This window comes from Homo sapiens, chromosome 3, assembly GCF_000001405.40.
Source record: "Homo sapiens chromosome 3, GRCh38.p14 Primary Assembly".
NCBI classification, from domain to species: domain Eukaryota; kingdom Metazoa; phylum Chordata; class Mammalia; order Primates; family Hominidae; genus Homo; species Homo sapiens.
Window position 1 is genome coordinate 72301366 of NC_000003.12, and position 18281 is coordinate 72319646.

At 48.1% G+C, this 18281-nt stretch overlaps 2 long non-coding RNA genes across 5 annotated transcripts in view, besides 4 other annotated features; both read right to left on the reverse strand.

Moving 5' to 3' along the window:
- LOC105377158 (uncharacterized) overlaps positions 1 to 6052 on the reverse strand; it is a 32683-nt gene extending 26631 nt beyond the window's left edge. For 3 of the 4 annotated variants that reach the window (XR_001740750.3, XR_001740748.3, XR_940959.2), the window contains exons 1-3: positions 5669 to 5894; positions 3310 to 3390; positions 1284 to 1381 (exon numbers count right to left, since the gene is read on the reverse strand). This is a non-coding gene — a long non-coding RNA (uncharacterized LOC105377158). The other variant, XR_001740749.3, reaches the window with a different exon arrangement.
- Positions 2653 to 2947: an enhancer, noted in NCBI's record as "tiled region #8765; K562 Activating non-DNase unmatched - State 6:EnhF". NCBI's record gives its function as "activates a minimal TATA promoter and a strong SV40 promoter by Sharpr-MPRA in K562 cells {active_cell/tissue: K562}" and the evidence as "EXISTENCE:reporter gene assay evidence [ECO:0000049][PMID:27701403]".
- Positions 8981 to 9290: an enhancer, noted in NCBI's record as "active region_20084". NCBI's record gives its function as "activates an Ori minimal core promoter by ATAC-STARR-seq in GM12878 lymphoblastoid cells {active_cell/tissue: GM12878}" and the evidence as "EXISTENCE:reporter gene assay evidence [ECO:0000049][PMID:35858748]".
- Positions 9471 to 9650: an enhancer, noted in NCBI's record as "active region_20085". NCBI's record gives its function as "activates an Ori minimal core promoter by ATAC-STARR-seq in GM12878 lymphoblastoid cells {active_cell/tissue: GM12878}" and the evidence as "EXISTENCE:reporter gene assay evidence [ECO:0000049][PMID:35858748]".
- Positions 10987 to 15740, reverse strand: LOC105377159 (uncharacterized). The gene is made up of 3 exons (XR_940960.2): positions 15530 to 15740; positions 14295 to 14350; positions 10987 to 11132 (listed from the first exon to the last, which is right to left on the reverse strand). It is a non-coding gene; the product is annotated as an uncharacterized LOC105377159 (long non-coding RNA).
- Positions 17443 to 17984: an enhancer, noted in NCBI's record as "H3K4me1 hESC enhancer chr3:72367959-72368500 (GRCh37/hg19 assembly coordinates)". NCBI's record gives its function as "activates a minimal SCP1, AML or CMV promoter by ChIP-STARR-seq in primed H9 embryonic stem cells {active_cell/tissue: H9 hESC(primed)}" and the evidence as "EXISTENCE:reporter gene assay evidence [ECO:0000049][PMID:30033119]".

Sequence of the window (18281 nt, forward strand, 5' to 3'; positions counted from 1 at the left end):
CATTTGAAAAAAAAAAGGAGAGTGAAAAAAATAAGAGCAAGCCCCGCTGTGAAGGGAATGGCGCTCTATGCCAGGCCCTGACGGTGAGCTCTATACATAGATGTGGGCTCCTTCTGCATCCCTGACGGTGCGAATATTTCTCCAGCCTATCATTTGCCTTTGAACTTTATCTATAGTGTCCTTCCATGTACAAAGAGTAATTAATTTCCCCAATTCGTCTCACTGTTATTCTCAAAGAGCACACACATCCTTTCTCAGCAGACATTACAGATTTATTTATGGGTCCTTCCAAATGGACCATAACATTCCTTGAGGACAGGAGCATTTTATTCACCACAGTGTCCCTAGGGCTTGACACCGTGTCTGGTACATAGTAGGCCTTCAATAAACACTGGATAGGTGGGTGGATGGGAGGTAAGGAGTGAGGGAGAAGAGAGGGAAGAAAGGAGAAGGGGTAAGGCTAGGAAAGATGGGCTGAAAAGGGGAAAGAAGAAAGAAGGAGAGAAAATAAATGCTCAGTAAACACTGGAGGGCAGCTGCTTCTGTTGACCGCAGTCCCTGGCACAAGCCTGGCTCCACCTGGCAGCTGTTGGCCACGGCTCCCAGTCCACATGGCACACCTGCCTGGCAGGCCTGGCTGTGCTTCGCGGTTCAGATGCCCGGCTCCTCCTCAATGCGGGGCACACCTTCACAGACCGTGGCCCATCACACGCTGCCTGGGGCCTCCAAGACCCTTTAAAAGTCTGGCACATGGTAGGCCCTTGATTGAGGTGCAAGGGATGTTAGGGATGGTCTGTGTAGCCTGGAGGAGAGGGGGCCTCTTTCCCCTCCATCTAAAATGGCAGCCTCTCCCCCTTTTTTTCTGCCTTGCTGCTTTTCTCAGCAGCCATCACTGCCACTCTACATTCATTAGAGAGATCAGTATCCCATATCCGAAGTATTTGGGACCAGACTGTTTCAGATTTTGGAATATTCGCATATACATAATGAGATATTTTGGGGATTGGGACCCAAGTCAGCAGCACTTTGAAATCATGTCTAGTCCCCGGAGCACACAAAGTCTAAAATGCATGAACCCCCAGGCACCTCGGAAGCAGCAAACTAGCCAAGATTGCAGATGCTTACAGGGCTTGGAGTGGAAGGGAGGGTTTGTGAGTACAAAAACAGTAAAGGAAATTCACTTGTGTTTCATACACACCGTATACACATAGGATGAAGGAGTAATTTTATGAAACATTTTCAATAATTTTGCATATGAAACAAAGCTTGTGTTGAGTACTTACATGTGGAATTTTCTATTTGTGGCTTCATGTCAGTGCCCCAAAAGTTTCAGATTTTGGACTGCTTCAGATTTTGGAATTTTGAAGTAGGAATGTTCAACCTGTAGTAGAAGGAAGTGATGAAAGCACTCACACTACAGCCAAGCAGACTGGGTTCAAATCCCACCACAGCCCCATGTAAGCTGGGAGACTTTGGTCAAGTTTCTTAATGCTCTGTGTGGCTCAATTTTCTCATGAGAAACAATGATGCCAGCACCTTCCCCATGAAGCTACCGTGATGGTTAAAAGAGTTGGCTAATGTCAAAGGCTTCCAACAGTGCCTGGCATATAGAAAGGGTTCCATAAATGTAATCCCAGCTCTGATGACCATTTCCCAGCCCGGAATGAAGCTCTGTGAGAAGGGGCACCGTGTGCTCTTTGCTGTGCATTCCCAGAGCCTAGAACAAGGTGTTGTGAGCATAGGCACTCACTTTCTTTAAATGGAAGGATTTGAGAGCTGGGAAAAGAAAGGCCTAGAGAGGCAGAGACACTCACCCAAAGTCACACAGCAAATTGGAGGCAGAGTTCCCAACTCCAGTGCACCACACATTTTCCTGGAGAGGGCTGCCAAGGAGCAGCGTGGGAAATTGGGTGAAGGCCAGAGTTGCACCACCCAATATGGTAGCCATGGCCTTGACATGTGGCTAATGTGATTGATGAGCTGAACTGTTCATGTTATTTAATTACATTTTTTTATTACATTTAAACTTAAAAACTCATACTTGATTCAGTGATTGGAAAACTTTTATGAGGGTCTCGATCAACTTGGGTAGGTGAATCTTTTTCAGCTATAAGTTTTGTGAAGTCTAAATGCGGATCAAGTATTCCCATGAAAATTTTAGTATCCAAATTGACATGTGCCATAAAAGTATAAGACACACACCAAACTGGGGAGTCTGGGTATGCAAAGAAAGAACAGAAAATATCTTCTTAAAAACTGTGCACATTGGTTAATGTTAAAAAGATCATATTTGGGATATATTGCTTTAAATAAAGTGTGTTATTAAAATTTCATCTATTACCCTTTGGTTTTTTTTTAATGTGGCTACCAGAAAATTGTAAATAACTTACGTGGCTCACATTGTATTTCTATAGTACAGTGTTGGGCTTAGAGGGACAAGAACTGGGTGAGGAGGAAGGTGGCTCACTGGCTGGGAGGGCTGTCCCCCACTGCTCCAGCACAGAGGAGCTGAGACTCTGGGGTGGGCATGTTTGGGGAGCCCCTGAGCACTGGAGCTGGGCTGCACTACTTGGGAAGCCTGAGCTGAGCTGGATCCAGGTCCCTGCACTCTGACACTTCCCTCGACAGGCAGGGAAGCAGCTCAGGGATTAGCATTAATTCTTTCCCTCGAGGGCAGATGGGGAGAAGGTTAAGTGCAAACTGACGGCAGCTGCCCAATTAAGCCCTGGGAGAGGGATGAGGGCAAAGGAGGAGGCTGGGGAATGTTCTTAGGGATTCCCAGGGAGACAGGAAGCAGCAAGGGCTTCACCGCCTTTATCTCATTTCCCCCTTACCAGTGACGGTTTTCCTACAGGCTCTGCGGGGTGGATTCACTCTTCCCAAACCACATGGCAAGTACGGGGCTGACCTGGGCTCCATTCTCCCAGTCTTTGCTCCAGCTCTTTAAGCAAAATTAGTTGCCTGCTTTTGCTACTGCTCTGGGAAAACACTGGAGGCAAGGAGACTTTGAGGTGAGAGAGGGATTCCACCAAGGCTGAGGGCTGACACTGACTTGATACTCCCCATGTGCCAAGTGCTCGCCGGGCATTACCTCGCTGAATTCTCACCCTGTGCTGTTGGCACTGTTCTCATCACCCCCACTTATAGGCAAGGACATGATGGCCCAGAGAGGTTTAGCACATGGCTCAGGGGCACACAGTTAGGCAGTCAGGAAGCCAGAGATATTTGAACACCAGGTTACCCCATCAGACCTGAACTCTGAAATTAAGCACTATGCCAAGTTGCCTCTTGTCCTAGGAGGCTTCTCACCAAATATCGGATTCGTCAGCAGGGAGGCAGAGGTGGTAGAATGACTTCCTGGAGTCCTCCTCTGATATGTTGGATCCTGAGCTGGAGGAGGAGAAAGAGAAGAGACGTCATGTTCCCCGGGACCAAGTCCTATTGGTCCTAGCTTAGATGCCACCTCCCCCAGGAAACCAGCACTGATTCCTCCCACCTTCCCTTCCAGGCTAGTTACCTGCCCATCCTCCTTGCTGTCTCTGCTTTCCTGATGCCTACATCCATCCACACAAAAATAGCCAACATATGTCCAACATTTTACCCACATTATTTCAATTTACCCTCATAAACATCTAGTAAAGAAGGTACTATTATTACTTCCCTTGGACAGTTGAGAAAACCAAGGCACAGAAAATAAAATGGATTGGTTCATGGTCACCAAGCTCAGAAGTAACTAATAACAACCCAGACGTCTCCTGCCAAAGTGCCTACTCTTAGCAGCCACATTGTCCTTGCTTCCTGTGGCAGCATCCTATTGGTTTATTGGTTTGCTCTTCTCTCTCCTCTACGCTTGCAGGGAAATTCGAAAGACTAAGTCGAGACCTTGCAGGTGTAGCAATCATGAGAGCACCCTGGTTACCGTTTGGAGTCACTGGGTGTCTTGCTCACTACTTAGAAGCCTTGTGCTGCCTTGGAGCAAGTCATCCAGGCTCCGCTGCATTGCTTGATTCACACATTGTCTACTGATTGAGCACCTTCTATGCGCCAGGCACTGAGACCAAGGAGGTCCCCATCCTCATGGAGCTTCCACGCTAGGTAGAGAAACAGAGAGAATCCCAGTACTCAAATAAGGATATAGAGTAATTTCCTGTACTGGCAAGGCCAAGAAAGAGAACTAAAGCAGAAGATGGGGGAGAGAATGACAAGTAGAGGGGGTGGTCTGGAGGGCCCATGTGAGGAGGTGGTGTGAGGACAGGGATATGAAGTGAGGGGCCAGCCACAGGAAGACCTGGAGGAAGGCAGCCAGGAGGAGGAAATGGCAAGGGCAACAGCACTGCGAGGGGAGCATGTTTAGCGTGTCCAAGGAACCAGAGGTCCAGGCAAAATACACATTTGTTCACAGCAGCATTGTTTATAAGAGCCAAAAAGTGGAAATGACCCCAATGCCTACCAACGAATGGATGGATAAAGTGCATACCCATACCACACAATATGATTTGGCCTCTAAAAGGGATAAAGTACTGATTCATGAGACAACGTGGATGGATCTTGAAACATTAGGCCAAGTAAAAGCAGCCAGTCACAAAATGAAAACACATATTGTATGGTTCCATATGTATGAAATGCCCGGAATAGGCAAATCTGTAGAGACAGAGAGTAGATTCATGGTTGCCAGGGGCTGGAGGGGAGGGAGAATGGGAATGACCGCTGATGGGGAATTTGGGGATTATGAAAATATTCTAAACTTTGATTGTGATGATCATTGCACAACTCTGAATATATTATACTAAAACCATTGAGCTGTACATTTTAAATGGGTGAGTTTTATGAGACGTTAATTTTTTTTTTATTTTTTATTTTGGAGACAGGGTCTTGTTGTGTCACCCAGGCTGGAGTACAGGGGCACAATCATAGCTTACTGCATCCTTGACCTCCTGGGCTCAAGAGATCCTCCTGCCTCAGCCTCCTGAGTAGCTGGGACTACAGGTGTGCACCATCATGCCCAGCTAATTTTTTGTAGAGGTGGTGTCTTGCTGTGTTGCCCAGGCTGGCCTCAAACTCCTGGGCTCAAGTGACCCCCACACCTCAGCCTCCCAAAGTGCTGGGATAAAGGCATGAGCCACTATGCCCAGCCTGATGTTATTTATAGCTCAATAGAGCTGGTTTTTCTCTTTTTAAAAAAAAGAAAAAGAAAAGAAAAGAAAAGAAAAGAAAAGAAATGAACAAAAAGAAGCAAGAACAGGCAAGGAAGGCTGGAGGGGAATAGGCAAGGAGAAGACAGAGAAGAGAAGACCAGAGGTTCTTACAGTTTGAGAACTTTGGGTTTCACTCTGTCATTAGAAGCCATTGGGGGTTCTGAGCTGGGAATCTGGTGGTCCAATTTACATGTTTTAAAGATTATTCATTTGCAGAGCAGCATAACGGTTGCTGGATTCCGGGGCCTTGATTCAAATCCCAGCAGAGTCTACATGCCTAGCTATGTGACTGCAGCAAGCTGTATAATCTTTGGGGGCCTCAGTTTCTCAACCATAAAATGGGATGATCATAGCATCTCCCTTCTAGGGAGGCTTAACTGAGTGAATATTCATGAAGCATTTGGAAGAGTGCCTGGTACATAGGCAATGATCCATGAAAGTTAGGTAACTTAAGTCAATAAGAAAGTACTCACTGGATAGTCCCTGTCTTCCTGGGGAGAAAGCGCTGCCAGCCAGGGGCTGCTTTCCGCTTTGCAAAGCTCTAGCCCCTCGCCTGGCTCAATCCAACAAGTAATTGCTCCGAGGCCTCCTTCCAAATGGGCCATAAATCAGAGGCCAGGGTCTCCTGTTACCAGCGGCTGGTGGTGAAGTCCCTCCCCCGGGTAATGGGAAGCAGATGTTGGCAGCCCCTTCTGGCCTCCAGAGGACTGTGTACCTGGGCTGCTCACGTCACAGCAGTTGGAGCAAGAATTTCCATGAGCTTTTAAATCGAAGGTTGTCAAAGAAACGGCCTCCTAGGGCTTCCAGATGTTCTGCGGCGTGTTTCAAGCAGGAGGTGGGCAGCTAATGGGGGCCTTCAGGGGCTGAGAGAGGAAGAGCAGGGTCAGGGATAACACTAGGTTCCTTCCAAGGGGCCTGACCAGCAGGCAAGGTGTGGGGCCTGAGAGGTGGCAAGCTGTCAAGAAAGCAGCACAGGCTTTGCAGCCAGGAGGACCTGGTTCAAATTCTGTTTCTCATTTTCTCAGCCTGTGCCCTGAAGTCAAGGGTAAGTCACCTTTCCAGACCCCAGTTTTCTCGCCTGTGAAATGGGTGTGATGTTACTTATCTCACACATATTTGAAGGTGGGAAGTAGTTTAAGTTAAAGCACAGTGTCTCAGGCATGGTAAATGCTCAAAAAATGAAGGTAGTTATTAGAAGCGAGCTATGCACAGAGCCTTGTTACCCATTAAGTCTTTATTGTCGCTGGACGCTGAGCACTGTGACGGGCAAGGAAGTGTAGTCACCTCACAAGACTTTCTACGTTTCCTAAGGCCAAGGCCTTGATGAGGTCCAGAAAATTCCTTAACAATCTTTCAGCTACAAGTCCATGCACAGTTTGGCTTTAGGTACAATTCAGGGCTCACATGATGTCACCAAGAGGCAGCTCCTCTTTAGCTTCCACTGACTGGTTGTCAGATTTAAGCAAATAAAAATATAAAACGTCAGTTAAACTTTAATTTCAGATAAACAAGAAGTACTTTTCTTAGTATAAGTATGTCCCACTAAATATCTGGAAGATACTTTCTTTTTTTTTTTTTTTTTTTTTTGAGACAAAGTCTCACTCTGTCACCCAGGCTGGAGTGCAGTGGCACAATCTCAGCTCACTGCAACCTCTGCCTCCTGAGTTCAAGCTATTCTCCTGCCTCAGCCTCCTGAGTAGCTGAGATTACAGGCACAGGCCACCATAACCGGCTAATTTTTTGCATTTTTATTAAAAGTAGAAATGGGTTTCACCATATTGGTTAGGCTGGTCTCCAACTCCTAGCCTCAAGTGATCAGCCCACCTCGGCCTCCCAAAGTGCTGGGATTACAGGCATGAGCCACTGTCCCCGGCCCATTTGGGACATACTTGTACTAAAAACATATTCATTGTTGAATTAATTAACAGGGCCACCTGTGTTTTATCTGGCAGCTCACTGGAGTTCGGCCTTAGGCTGGGTCCTCTGGGGTAGCAATAGGGCAGCAAACCTCTCATGGTTCAGACTGGATTATGTGACTATCCTGAGCCAGTCACTGTGGGCAGAAGAACTTAATACATCGGCTGCTATCACCTGGTTTACACACTCCATCCCCAGACTCAGAGTCTGTCTACCTCTAGCTTCTGGGAAGAGGGTGCTTCCCTTAAAGAAAAAGCAAGTACTGTAGATAGTACTGTAGATGCGGTATATGAAAGGAAGGAAAAACAGGATCTACTGTGAGCAGATGCAAGGAGGAGAGATTCTTAAACCAGAGGCAGGGATGTGGGTGTCCCCCAGCTCCAACTAGCGGAGTAAGCCCAGCTGGCCTGGTACCAAGAGATAAAAGTAGATCTTTGAGAAAAAGAACCCCAGGTTGTCCTGGCTGACTCTTTGACAGCATCTCTGGGTAAAACAACCTGCAGGAAGTCCTTCCCTAACTCTCTTCTCTGAGGCTCAGTGTTCTCATCAGCAAAATGAGTATAAGAATTCAAACTTCTGATCAGGCATGTGGTGATTCACGCCTATATTTCCAGCATTTTGGGTGGCCGAGGCAGGTTGCATCACTTGAGTTCCAGAGTTCGATACCCACCTGGGCAACATAACAAGACCTCGCCTCTAAAAAAAAAAAAAAAAGAATTCAAACTTCTTGGGGGGAGTTGTGAAGATTATCTGAGGTTCAACTGACTCCTAACTTGAGACCCAGTTAGTTATTACATAATAGTCACAAATTCAGTTGGCAGCACTCAAAAATTTATTTCCTAAGGGTAGATTTTTTACAAAGTGGGGTTCCAGTCCCAGTAATCTTTCATTCCTTGACAATACCAATTAATTATGATTGCTTGTTGTGGCTTCTCAGCCTCAGCACTGACATTTTGGGCTGGATACTTCTCTGTTGTGGGGGGCTGCCCTGTGCATGGTAGGATGTCTAGCAGCACCCCCAAACCCCACCCACTAGAAGCCAATAGCAGCTGCTTCTTAGCTGTGACAGCAGAAATGTCTTCCAGACATTGCTAAATGTTCCCCTAAGGGGTAAAGTCATTCTCTCCTCTAAGAACCACTGTGATAATAGCATAAAATACAAATATATATTCGTATAAACATGTATTAAGATATTGTGTTGAATGTGTACTGTAAGCCCTATATTATGCATATCCCATTGGGGAAGCTTATCAATGTGGACTGAGCCAGCTGAGGTCTCTTAAAATAAAGTCCGTATAAATTGGAGGGAAGACACCACTTCCTGAAGTAGGCAAGCCCGAGTGTCTTCCTGCCCCTAGGGACTTTCAAACTGCATTAAAAATGAGAATCATCTGTCTCAAAAATGTTTCCTTGTCAAGTTAATTGAATGGAGGAGGAGGTGGGGCAATGCCCAATCACCTCTTCCGCCTCCGTTTTAGCAAAAGCCAAAGGGCTTCTGGGAGCAACATCAGGATTTGTGTAGTGTTGGCGTCTTAAAGTCATGCTTTACTTTTTAACGATTCTTTTTAAGTTATAAAAATAATGCCGACAGCCAAGCCATGGCGGGTGGGAGGGAGGGATGGGGGTGTCCACAGGTAAAGACCAGGAAGATAGCAAAATTCAATTGAAGGCTGTCCTAGACGTTGCATGGAAGCCGCGGTTGCCTCTCACTAGCTGGTGTCCTTGGGCTAGTTACCTAATCTCTGACAGGGCTGACTTCACAAGCCTGTGTCCCAGGCAGTCACTCAGGGCCTGTGATCAGAAGGACACCTCACTTGGTTTAACAGTCTGCTGTGGTTTCAGTCTTGAAGTTCTTAATTTTTAAACCAAAGACCCCACATTTTTATTTTACACTGAATGTCCTAAATCATGCAGCCAATCCTGCTCTCTGAACTCAGTTTTTACATCTGTAAAGTGGGGGTCATGACACCCTCCCATTGCAAGACGACTGTGAGGGTTACACACTAGTCCAGGGGCTGACAGCTCTCAGCACTGCAGTTCCCTGCCCGGCCATCCCAGTGGCTGAAACAACAGTGTTTGCAGTCATTCTCAGGCCCCATCTCAGAAGGAAGTCTTTAACGACGGGCCTGAGACCATGACTCTGAGCTTCCGGAACCTTTGAAATTCTCTCTGTTTATTATTTTTGTGACTACCATCTGTTTCCTGTAGCAATGAACTCTTTAAATGAAAAGGTCTGTGGACTGAGGGGTGGAGCAGGAGGACAGCGGGGAGACTCCACCCTCCAGGGCAGCCTGGCTGGGGAGGAGAGTCCCCAGGGGAGAGTTGGCAGAGCAGAGCAAACAAGCAGCGTCCCCAGAGTGCCTGCAAGGCAGGAAGGAAGATCGCCTTCTCACGTTGCACCCTGTTCAGCTTTCCGAAGAGGGAGACAAAGGTGGAGTTGGAGCCAGTCCTCAGATTCGCGTGACTCCATGGCCCATCTTTTGCCTCCCTCTGCACGCCATGAGCTTCTGTAGTTAAAGGGCTCCTGGGGGCTGCGGCTCACCATCGCCCCACCTCCGCAGGTGGACTCTGGCAGGTTCAAGGAGGTAGAAGTGCTGAGGGACCCTGTCCTCTTGTCCTTTCTATCACTGCTACCCCAGCAGGTGTCCAGGCCCCCACCCCATCTCCACAGTTTGCAGATGGCCTGCGATGCTGAAACAGGAACATCCATGAGGGAGAAGTCGAAGGTGCCAGACAAGCACTCGGGACATGGCTGGAGGTTCCCCTCTGAGCTAGGAGGTCCCACCAGCTGTCCACAGAAAGGACCACCTTTGCAACTCCCATGTGTTGATGCTGTATGGTAACGCAGTAATAAGCTGGAGGGTGTGGAGGTGCTGACTGAGAGCCCTTGGGCATTGTTGGTGGGTGACCCAAGTCCCCTCTCCAGGAGGGGCTGGGCAGTACCTGGAAACTGAGTTTCCTCCAGCCCACATGGCCGCAGGACCTCTCTCCTTTATTGTGTCCCCTCCATCTCTCTTCCTTCCCCACCCAGAAGAAACCTTGCCATCTCCAGGCCCAGAAATTCATCTTGTTCCCAGCTCTCCTCCCCACTTCCGTCACTGATGCCCATCAGTCCTTCTCCTCCCCGCAGGCCTAAGATTTTGCAACTCCAAGGCCAAGAGCTGACATTCTCTTCTCTCCGAGTTGCTGCCTCTCCCGAGGCAATGAGAACAAAATGCACACAGCAGCCAGAATGGAGGAGGGGACGAGGGTAGAGAGAAACACCAGGAATAAAAACCTCATGCCTTCATACTTTCAGAGTCACCCGCCACCCCACTACATGCTCTTGAGGATTTATGGCAAGACCCATGATGATTTTTTTTGCTGATTTGTTTCACAAAAAAAAATTGACCTATGACTGTGGGAATGTGTCACCAAAGGAAAATAATCTCTTAGGTGACAAGATGCTGGAGGAAGGAGAGGTCCCCTTGCCTTGTGCCTCAAGACACCAAACTATCAAAGGAGGCACAGGGAGAGACCCAAAGCCCAACATTACCTGGGCTGGTACTGATTTCTTGAGGCTGAAACCAATCAAGTTTTCTCAGCCCCAGGCCCCTGTTCCTCCACGCTCTGAAGATGACCATCTGAGGCCTTTAGAAAGTCACTTTATGAGACAGTGGTCTCATAACAGTGGTCCATAGGTAGTGGTCACCACAGAGTCTATGATGAAGCCACAGGGGAATTTGTGGGAGTTTTAATGTTCAACAAGAAAGCCTACTTACAGGGAAGTTAGACGTGCTTCCATCCTTTGCTTCTTTCAATGGCAGCATTATTTAGCCAGTACGTTTTAATACCTCCGTTAATTAGCATAAAAAATATTTTGGAAATGTCCTCACCCACCTTGGGAAGGCTCCCAGCCAGGTTACAAGGGGAAGTCTTCTCTTTTCCCCTCAGTAAGCGGGAGCAGCTGCAGATAGACTAACCATCGTCTACCTTCTTGTTGGTGAGAATAACTGTCCAACCAGCAGCACGGAGGCAGTTCTGAGAATGAAGGAGCTTGCTCAATGACTAATCCGGAAAAGAAAGTCCCTCATCCTAATTTAGAAGGTAGCTCCAGTTCGTGGCTTTGCTAAACTGCACCTCCTTTAGTCATTTCATGCCAATTCAACCCCTTTCAACAAACGCATTTTCCAGTTTAGAGCTGGAATGGCCTTGGGAGGTTTTGGAGGCCTGGAGGATGGGAGGGAAGTAGGTGAGGCAAGATTGGGCTTAGAGCTGCCATCAGAGAGCCCCCTGGGATGCTTGTCAAATGTTGATCCTGGGTACAAGACCAAGTCACAGAATTTTTTTGCTGAATGTGTCCCTAAATTAGTAACACTTCAAGTATTCCTCCAGAGTTCCTGCATGGTGCTGCTGGGAGATCCCTGCCACAAACCAGTCAGCTGATCTCAGGTACCTTTTATCTTTTATTTTATTATTATTATTATTTGAGACAGAGTCTCTCTGTTTCCCAGGCTGGAGTGCAGTGGCACAATCATGACTCAGTGCAGCCTCCTGGGCTCCAGTGATCCTCCTGCCTCAGCCTCCCGAGTAGCTGGGACTACAGGTGTACACCATCACAGCCAGCTAATTTTTTTTATTTTTTGTAGAGACAGGTTTTCACCATGTTTCCCAGGCTGATCTTGAACTCCTGAGCTCAAACGATCCTCCCACCTCAGCCTCCCAAAGTGCTGGGATTACAGATCTGTACCAGGCCCTCAGGTACATTTTATAACACTTCAGAGTCTATGTCTCCAGTTATAAACTGGAAATCATACGATTTATCCTCCCTCATAATACAGTGAGTTCCTCCTATCGGAATCATGGGCTGAGGATAAGGACCCATGTCTTAGTTATTTTCTGCAGGGTCCAGTACTGGTACCTATTAGTAATAACAAAAACAATAATAATAATTAAGTATCCTTTCTTGAGGACCCACTGTGAGCCAGGAACTCTGCAAATCACTGATTATACATTCTCTCATTTCATCCCCACAACAAACTCTGGTATGGTTATTATCCCCACTTTACAGATGAGAAAACTGAGGCTCAGGGAGAGGAAATCTAACCTACCCAACTTTTAATACTTTATCCTAGTTCATTTGCTCTCACTTCTCTCCCTTCCTCAAACCTTCTCCCTCTAGCAAAAGGGAAGTACAATCTAGTATATGAAAAGACTTTCCATAAATGCAAACTCAAATAAATTGTATCTAGAGCGTCTGCAGCTTCCTCTCCTTCCCCAGGATCATTGGCTATTTGTTTATTCAGGAAATAATGATCACAAGTCTCTTCTACAAAGCACTGGTCTAAATGCCGAGGATAAAATAAAGAGCAAAAATAATCCCTGTCCAGCTCTCAGGAGCTTACGGCCTAGGAATATAGTCAAACCTCTGGGCATCTCTATAAGTAAGTGATGCTCTCCACTCCACCCCACCGCTTCCTCACTCATTCTTCAACATTTTTGAATTATTGAACTTCTATTGAGTTACACTGCAAGTAACAGGAGACTCACATATCAATGGCCACCTAAAACGCTAAAGAGAGGGGTTTTATTTTTCTTATAAGACATAATGTCCACAAGTAAATAATAACTAAAAGGTGTCAGAACAGAGAGAAGTCCTGGTGGCTCTCTAGGCTTTTGCCTCATGTACACAGAAGGCTGCCACAGCTCTAGCCATTAAGCCTGTATTCTATGCAAAAGGAAAGTGGGGAGATCCTGAGAAAAAGGGGCCATATCTGATGAGTCGGTCTCCATTTGGGGGCTTTTCTGGAAATCTCTTGCAACAATGTAGACTTACGCTTCCATAACAGACACTGTTGGGGCCTGCCCTATCCACATCCCCTTGACATTCATCATCTGGGCTCTACAGAACCTTCCTTCTACAGACTCCTTTCTTCAGCCCCAGTAGCTTGCTCAGGTTGCCACACAGAGAGGCCAGAATTAATTCTGCCCAGAAGCAGCATCAACCAATGACAGACAGCAGTTGGTGGGCAAACACCCCAGCTTTCTGGCCCTCAGGTGGGAAAATTGGGGACCTGTTGTACACTAGCTCTCAAAGGTTCCCAGCAGGATCTGGCCCCAGTTACCCCCAGCAATAATGTGCTGCTCACTCACACTCTCTGCACTTGGCTTCTCTTCCTTGTCTCATTTCCCCTTCCAGGAATCACCTTCCAAATAAGCTACTTGCCCTTGACTCTTGGCTTCAAGGAGTCTGTTTCTAGGAGCCCAACCTAAGATGACCTGGTGGGACAGAATGCATCACGTGGCCATCTCTGGCTGCAAAGGAGTATGGAAAGTGGGATCTATTTGGTAGCTACATCCCTGCTCCCAGCAACATTGGGGTTCTGTTGGCAAGGAGGGAAGAGGTACTGAATGAGCATCCAACAACCCCTACCATGCCTACTCCATGCTGGGCATAGGGCTTCAGTGGTGACCAGTCATGGCTTCTGCCCTCAAGGGACTTCCAGTCTCGAAGAGGGGCAGCCATTATACAGCTGTGGGCGCTACAAGAGAGTGGTGGGTGCAGCCTTTGAGGAGCGCTCATTCTGAATGAGGCTCTATCCTAAAAGCTTGCATGCATGATGTTAACATGAAACCTCCCAGCACCTTCTGAGGCAAGGACTATTTTTACTATTTTCCTTCTACACCTGAAGAAACTGAGAATCAGGGAGGTTGAGTAACTTTCCCAGGAAGACAGGACTAGTATGTGTCAGAGCTCAAACTTGAAACTCAGTTTGACCCCAGGAGCTAGTGACATCTCAGCAAGGCATGCGAAGACAAGCAGCGTTGAAACAGGTGGAAAACGTGTAAGATTTCAATAGAATAGCACATGCTGAGGCCGGGAGGCTTGAGGCTCCATGAGACCACACAGGCTGGAGAAGACTGTCCAGGCCTCCTCAAGTGACCTGCCCCCAGCAAAAAGGGAAGCACAGCTTGAAAGGAGCTGTTCAGGTCCCCAGAGTTGAACCCTCCTTTAGGGGATATGGGCCACCATTCTCTCTCGCTTAATCGCTCACTCTCTCTCTTACACACACACACACACACACACACACCATCCTATCTTCTCCCCTCCACACTACCCTGCCATGCTCACCACCTCATAGATACCTACTCCAACACACCACTTCACTAGAACCCCAATTCACTACATTGGCTTTATGTTACCTCTACGTCAATTCTGGAATGCGCCACGTTTGCACCAGGAACCCTCCAAGCACGACCTTCAGAATTCAAGAGTCACAGATTAAAATCCCAGCTCAGGGTTAGCTATGGCAAGTCATACAGTCTGTCTGAGCCTTTGTTTTCCCATTTGTAAAATGGGAATTAAAATATCTACCTCACAGGGTTGTTGTAAGAACCTAGTAAGAATGTATCAGTAAAGCACATGATTGGCAGAATGCCACCATTTTTTACTATTACTAATACCAGCACCTTAGAATACCTGACCTTATGTTTTACTGCTCCCCAATATTACCCCAAATTCTGCAGTGTGTATTCCCATGGCCCCTTCTTGCTGCAGCTGTTCCCACCTGCAATGCCTTCCGTTGCCATCTGGGCTTATTCAAGCCATTCCCTCATTAAGGCCCAAGAACCTCCAGCTATTGCTCCTCTGGCTCAGTGGACCCCAAACTTGGCTGCATATTAGAATTGTTTAGGAGCTTTTAAAAACCCCCAGGCATGGGCCACAAACCAGCCAATTGCATCAGAATCCTGAAGATGGGCAGGCCCAGGCATCAGTAGGTCTTCAGGTCCCCCCAGGTGATTTAGATATGCACAACCGGTGCTTTAACACCTGCCTTCTACAGAGGCCTGCAGTTTGGCCCAAATCTGCCCAGTGACTTTCACTGTGTGATAACTGGCTAGTGTGTCATTGCAAACTGGAGTCCCACGAACAATCCCGCACAGCATCCTGCAAGCCCTGAGCCTCCCTTCTACCTCAATCAAGACTTATTTGTCAGGACATTGGTGGACACACAGCAGGCTCATTTATCTCCATCTCTCTTCTCCTCCCCACACCCCTTTCTTCTCAGTGGAGGCCATCACTCAGATCCCCCAGGAGCGGTCCTCTATCTTGTTCACATGCTGCTCTCAGTAGGGACTCCTCAAAGCAAGTCCAAGGGTCCTGTGCTGCTCTCCAGGCAGGCTGCCCCTAACACTGGCAGGGTCAGAGGGCCTTGTGTGTGTTGTGTGCACGCCCAGCGGGTGCCAGCCCAGCCTGCAGCTGGCTCCATCCACCCCAGCCCCGGCAGTAGCTCCTTGGCCTTGCCTCCCGCAGGGTGCATCCTCAGGAAGACCTCGGGGAGAGCAGCGTGCAGGCTGTTGCAGATGGAGTCTATTTTCCAAAGACAGCCCTAGAAGTATCTCCCGTCCCATAGATTCTTCTTACAATGTGACCTTACCCGTCCACCTCAAGAGGAGTAGAGTCTCTAACTCCACCTCTTGAATCCAGATGAACTTTTGTGACTGCCTCAGGCCATAAAGCACGGGGAAGTGACACTGTGTGACTTCCAAGGCTAGGTCATAAAAGGTGGCTCAGCTTCCTCCTGGTCCTCCCTCTTTGAACCCTGTTGCCAGGCTGTGAGGAAGCACTAGCCGCATGGAGGTGCCACGTGCAGGTGCTCTGGCCACAGTTCAGCCAGAGTGTCAGCCCCAGCCAGATCAACTGCAGATGTGAGTGATTCCAGCCCAGCCACCCTCTGACAGGACCTCAGGAGAGGCGCAAGGAAGAGCCTCTCCACTGACCCAGTCAGCCCCCAGAACCCATAGAGGATTGAGAATAATATTGAAATGATTGGTGCTTCCTACCCCTAAGTTTAGGTGGCTTATTACACAGCAACAGGTAACTGACGCGCAGGTCCTGAAAGTGGACTCGAGGCCTTTGGGTCAGGAAATTCAGGGGTCTCTAGGCCCAGCAGATCCTCCACCTGGTGGAAAGGAGGCATGGCTATAGGAGGACCTGAGTGAGGCCTTCTGAAGTGCAGGGCCCAGCAAAGACCTAGTGGTCTGGATCCAAGGGTGCACCCAAACATCCACCTCGAAAGAGGTTCAGGGGTGACAATCCAGATTGTGGTTCTCCAAGCTGAAGTCGCAGTCCTGCCTCCTGCGTGGTGGAGGTAGAGCACAGTGTGAGCGAGCTGGGCTTAGCAGTTACAGCAGTGCTGTCACCCGAACACATGTTTGACTTGGCTCCGGCTGTGTTTTTTTTTTTTAGAAAAGGAATGTGTTGCCAACATTGAAAAATTAGAAGACTTCAAATAAAAACCTGTAGATGTATAAATATGTGTTTCCCCCCCGATTGTAGAAACAAACATGCTAAGATTTTCTTTTGAAAATCAGACAAGCTGGCCCCACAGGGCACACATTTCTTTGCAGCAACAACTAGCTGGAGGTGGGCAATAGATGGTGTGTTCCATCCCCGTGGCCCCAATCCCCACCCCTCCCTAGTCCCTTAAACTTACCAGATTTTACTCATCGAATTAAACCACCCAGCCCCTGTAGGCATTTGATTTTAGGAGTCCCAAGATACATTCGCTCAGCTGTGCACCCAGATCCCTTCCTCCGAGCTGTATGATTTTTAGCCAAGTTACTTACTTTTCTCTGCCTCTGTTTTCTACCCTGTAAAACTGTGATACTCCTGCCTTGGGGCACTGGGGATGAGAACTAAAGTTAAAATGCATGGGATGGCCGGACGGTGGCTCATGCCTGTAATTCCAGCACTTTGGGAGGCTGAGGAGGGCAGATGGCTTGAGCTCAGGAGTTTGAGACCGGCCTGGGCAACAGGGCGAAACCCTGTCTCTACTAAATAAATACACAAATTAGCCAGGTATGGTAGCATGTGCCTATAGTCCCAGCTACTCGGGAGGCTGAGATGGGAGGATCACCTGAGCCTGGGAGGTCGAAGCTATAGTGAGCCGTGATCGGGCCACCGCACTCCAGCCTGGGTGATCAAGTGAAACCCTGTCTCAAATAAATAAATAAATAAATAAATGCATGGGAAAGACTTATCCCAGCATTTGGCATATCGTAAGTACTTTATAAATAGTTGCTATTATCATCACTGCAGTTATTTTTGCTATTTGAGTCCTTGGGCCTAATTCCCTGCCTGCTATCTCGCTCAGCCCACACAAGCTGTCTCCCAACACCCTGCTCTGCAAATCTATCCCCTGGGCCCAGGAAAGCCACAGGGACGGAAGCAGCCCTGAGCTGCAGCCTTGCCTTTGAATGTAAATATTAGCGTTGGCCCAGCCTGGGATTGCTGGAGGCAGAAGAGTGAGCATGCTGGAGTCTCAAATGGCACATCTGCTGGGAGCGGCCAGGCACCAGGCCCAGCCCAGCCTGGCCCCCAGCGCTCCGGGTTGCTTACAGGATGGTCGGAGCTGGGGAGAACTCAGTTGGCAATATTTGCAACCCCGTCCCACACCCTGCGACCAGGAAGGGTCAATCTGAGCATCTCCTTGAAGCCCCCAGGCCCAGGTTCTCTGGTTGCAGCAGAACAAGAGCTGAGGCTGGGATTTAGGGTGTTGGCTTTGAAGATGATCACACCAGAGTCTGGGACAGCAGAGCCAAGGCTTCCCTCGGGGAGAACAAGTCCAGGAAGGAGGCAACTGGCTTCTGCAAGTCAAGCTGAGTGACTTGCTTCAGCTGTAATTATCTGATTATTTCAGGCAAAAGCAAAAAACCAAAAGCCGAAGGCTTTGGATCCAGCTGCTGAGTTTCAGCTATTTGTCACTGGCAGCAGCCAGACACCCACCCTGGCTCCTCACAGCTGTTGAGTATGGACAGGGAGGGTTATTGTCATACCTGGGGCTCTAACAGGCACAAAGAGTGAGGTGCAGTCATGTCCTCTTATCTTCTCTTTCAACGGTAAGACTTCAGCAAATTTCCTGAGTACTGGGCCCTGGATATGACTCAGCAGCCATCTCCTCTGCTTCTCCTTGAGGGAGGTGGTGGCTACAAGGGTGGCCTTGGGGGTTAAGTCAGGCCTGGGCTGCATTCTTGCCCTGCTACTTACTAGCTGTGTCATCTTGGGCAAATGTCTTAACTTCTCTGTACCTCAATTTCCCTACCTGTAAAATGGGGATAATAGTACTTACCCTACAAGTTGTTTGGAGGGTGAAATGAGACGCTCTTGTACCAATTAGGCAGGGCTTT